This window comes from Homo sapiens, chromosome 4 (genome assembly GCF_000001405.40).
Source record: "Homo sapiens chromosome 4, GRCh38.p14 Primary Assembly".
In the NCBI taxonomy this organism is placed as follows: domain Eukaryota; kingdom Metazoa; phylum Chordata; class Mammalia; order Primates; family Hominidae; genus Homo; species Homo sapiens.
Window position 1 is genome coordinate 115,895,537 of NC_000004.12, and position 3,683 is coordinate 115,899,219.

A 3,683-nucleotide genomic window follows, 5' to 3' on the forward strand; every position below is an offset into this window, starting at 1 on the left:
ACAATACTACTTTCCTGGAGGGATTGCTAAGATTGGTGCCACCATTAATGGCTGAAAAATGCAAGAGTGGTGATTCAAACCGCATCTCTATACAAAAATCTAATTTGTCCTATGCAGAAGACAGATGGGTTTTGGAGAATGACAATGGATTATCATTTATTCAGGTGGTCCCTCCAACTGCAGCAGCTATACCATATGTGGTTTTATTGTTTCAGCAAATTAACATATTCTCTGGTAATTGGTATGCAGCTATTAGTCTGTGAAATGGCTTTTTCTCCATTTCTAGTCATAAGGCCAACTATAAGCAATTTCCTTTACCTGGCAAGGCCAGCAATATACTCTCATTCTTCCACCTCAAGGGTATATAAACTCTCCAGTTCTATGTCATGATTGAATTCACAGGAATCTTGAACTTCTTTCTTTTCCATAAGCTATCACACACTGGTCCATTAAATTGATTACTTTATGCTGATTGGAACGAGGGATCAAGGAGTAGCAACTGCTGTAGACTTACTGGTAAGACCATTAGGTGCTAAGGATGTTAAATAAATCTCACATATCTCAACATTTCAGGAGACTTGCACATCAGTGAAAATTTCAGAGGGCCCGTGGTGTGGGGCAATACCCTCTAAGGTGAAGAATAAGTTGTTACATCTGGCCCCCACCACAACCAAAATATAGATATAATGACTAATGAATCACTTCAAGTTTTGGAGACAGCATATTCTTCATTCAAGTGTGTTACTCTGGCCCATTTACCAAGTGACCTGGAAAGTCATTCGTTTTGAGTAGGACACAGAACAGGAGTAGACTCTGCAAAAGGTCCAGGATGCCTTACAAGCTGCTCTGCCATTTGACCCATATGATCAAGCAGATTCTTAAAGTGTCATTGGTAGATAAGAATGCTGGTGGAAGCCTTTGGCAGACCCCTATAGATGTATCACAGACCAGGCCCTTAAGATTTTTGAGCAAAGCCATGCCATCTTCTGCAGATAACTACTTTTTGAGAAACAGCTTTTGATCTGCTGCTGGGCCTTAGTAGAGTTAGAATGATTAACCATAGGCCACCAAGTTACCATGTAGTTGGAGTTTTCCATTATAAATTGGCTATTATCTTACTCAGTAATCCATAAATGCAAGCATACACCAACACTCTATTCCCAAATAAAAATTGTATATATGAGATTGGACCTGAGCCATCCCTGAAGACACAAGTTAAATAGAAAAGTGGCCTAAGGTCCATGGTCCCCATTCCTGCTATACTACCTTCACTCTCCCAGCCTTATAAATAATCACCCAAGATCAGTTAACAGAGGAAGATTAAACTCAGGCTTGGTTTACAGATAGTTTGCGTGATTCTAACCACATATGAAAGTGGTCAGTTGAAGCACCACAACCCCTTTCTGTACATCCCTGAATGAAAGTAGTGAAGAGAAATCTGTAGTGTGCAGAAATTCAAGCGTGCACCCAGTTATTCACTTTTCTTAGAAGACTAAATGGTCCCACCTATGATTAGGTATTGATTCTTGGGCTATATTCAATGGTTTGGCTGGATGCTTTAAGACTTAGAAGGAACAAAAGAGAAAAATTGACAAGAAAATCTGGAGAAGAGCTTTGTAGATAGACCTCTCCAAAAGACTGAAAAACGTGAAGACGTTTGTGTCACATGGAAGTGACCACCAAGTGGTGTTAAATAAGAGACACAATTTAGCAACTGAGTGGATGACTATGGATAGAAGTCAGCTTCTTTTGCCAGCCATCCTTGTCATTGCCCAATGAACAAATTGGCCATGGTGGCAGGGACGGAAATTACGTACGGACCCAGCAACATGAACAGCTGCCGTCAACCTGGCTAAGCTTCTGCTGAATGCACAATCTGCCAGCAGCAGAGACCAACACTGAGTCCCTGAAATGACACCATTCACTGTGGTGATCAACCAGCTACCTTTTGGGTAATTGGTTACATTGGATCTCTTTCATTATGGAAGGAGCAATGTTTTGTTCTTATTAGAACAGGCACTTACTATGAAAATGATGACCCCTCCCTGCATTCAATGCTTCTACCAAAACTACCATCTGTGAACTTACAGTATGTCATATCCACCTACATCATATTCCATACACATTGTTTCCAATCAAACAACTCACTTAGCAGCAAATGATGTGTGGCTACTGGACATTTTTCATGAAATTCACTGATCTCACCATGTTCCCCACCATCTTCAAGCCACTGGCTTCACAGAGCCATGGAATGGCCTTTTAAAGGCTTGGTCACAGTGCCAGCAAGGTGGAAGTACCTTGCAGGCCTGAGAAAGTTTATTCAGGAGCCTGTATATGCTCTGAATCATCATCCCATATATGGTTCTGTTTCTTCATAGTCAGGATTCATCAGTCCAGGAATCAAAAGGTACAAATGAGAGTGGCACCACTCACTATTATGCCTAGTGACCTGCTAGAAAAGTTGTTGCTTTCTATTCCCACACACTTATTCTCTGTTTGCCTAGAGATCTTAGTAGTAAAGGGAGGAAAGCTTTCATCAGGAGGCACAACAATTCTATTCAACTAGAGTTAAGATTACATCCAGACATTTTGAACTCCTCATGCCTCTGAATTAACAGGCAAAGAAAGATGCTATTGTGCTGGCTGTGGTAAGTTTTCCTTACTATCAAGCGGAATTTGGTACAAAGTAGGCAGAGTTACCATATTTTGTGGACAAAATAAAGAGAGTATGTCTGGTCTGGAATACAGGATATCCCCTAGGGTATATGCTGGTATTACCATGCCCTGTGGTTAAGGTCAATGAACAACTACAACATCTCAATTTAAGCAGGGCTACTAATGACTCAGGCTCTTTAGAAATAAAAGTTTGGCTCACTCCACCAGGTAAAGAATTATAACCATTTGAGGCTCCTGCTGAAGACAAAAGGGGTATGGAATGGATTGTGAAAAAAGGTAGTTATGAAGACCAGCTATGACCATGATACCAGTCATAGAAATTAGGACTGTAATGTCGTGATTGTTCTCTCCTTATTTTGTTATAACTATGTCTGTGTGTGTATATATAGCAAATGTCTTTGTTTTCTTCGCCCTCTTATCCCCTTCATTTAACATAAAAGGGATTGACTTTATATCATAGTACTTAAGTATTGTGAACTTTATATCATAGAATTCATATTAAGGGATATCACAGAGAATAGTAAACATTTTCCAAGGGATGTGCTTCTTCTTCTAAGATACCTAAGTCTTAAAAATGAAGAACTTCTTGCCATTTGTGACAATATAGATAAACTGGAATACATAATACTAAATGAAATAAGCCAGATGCAGAATGATTAATACTGTGTGGTCTCACTTATGCATGGAATATAACAACAAAAAAGTTGAAGTCATAGTAAGAATAGAATGGTGGTTACCAGGGGTCAGGGTCTTGTTCAAGTGGGAGGAGATGTATTTGATCAAAGCATACAAACTTTCAGTTATAAAAGGGATAACTTCTGGAGACCTAAAGTACAGCATGGTTACTTTAGTTAATGTGTTATAAAAAATTCAGAAAATTTTGAGTAAGCAGATTGCCCTCCATAATTTGGGCGGGCCTCATTCAATAAATTGAAATCCTGGATAGAACCAAAATTCCAGGCTCCTGGAGCAAGAGTGAGAGTGGCACCACTCACTATTATGCCTAG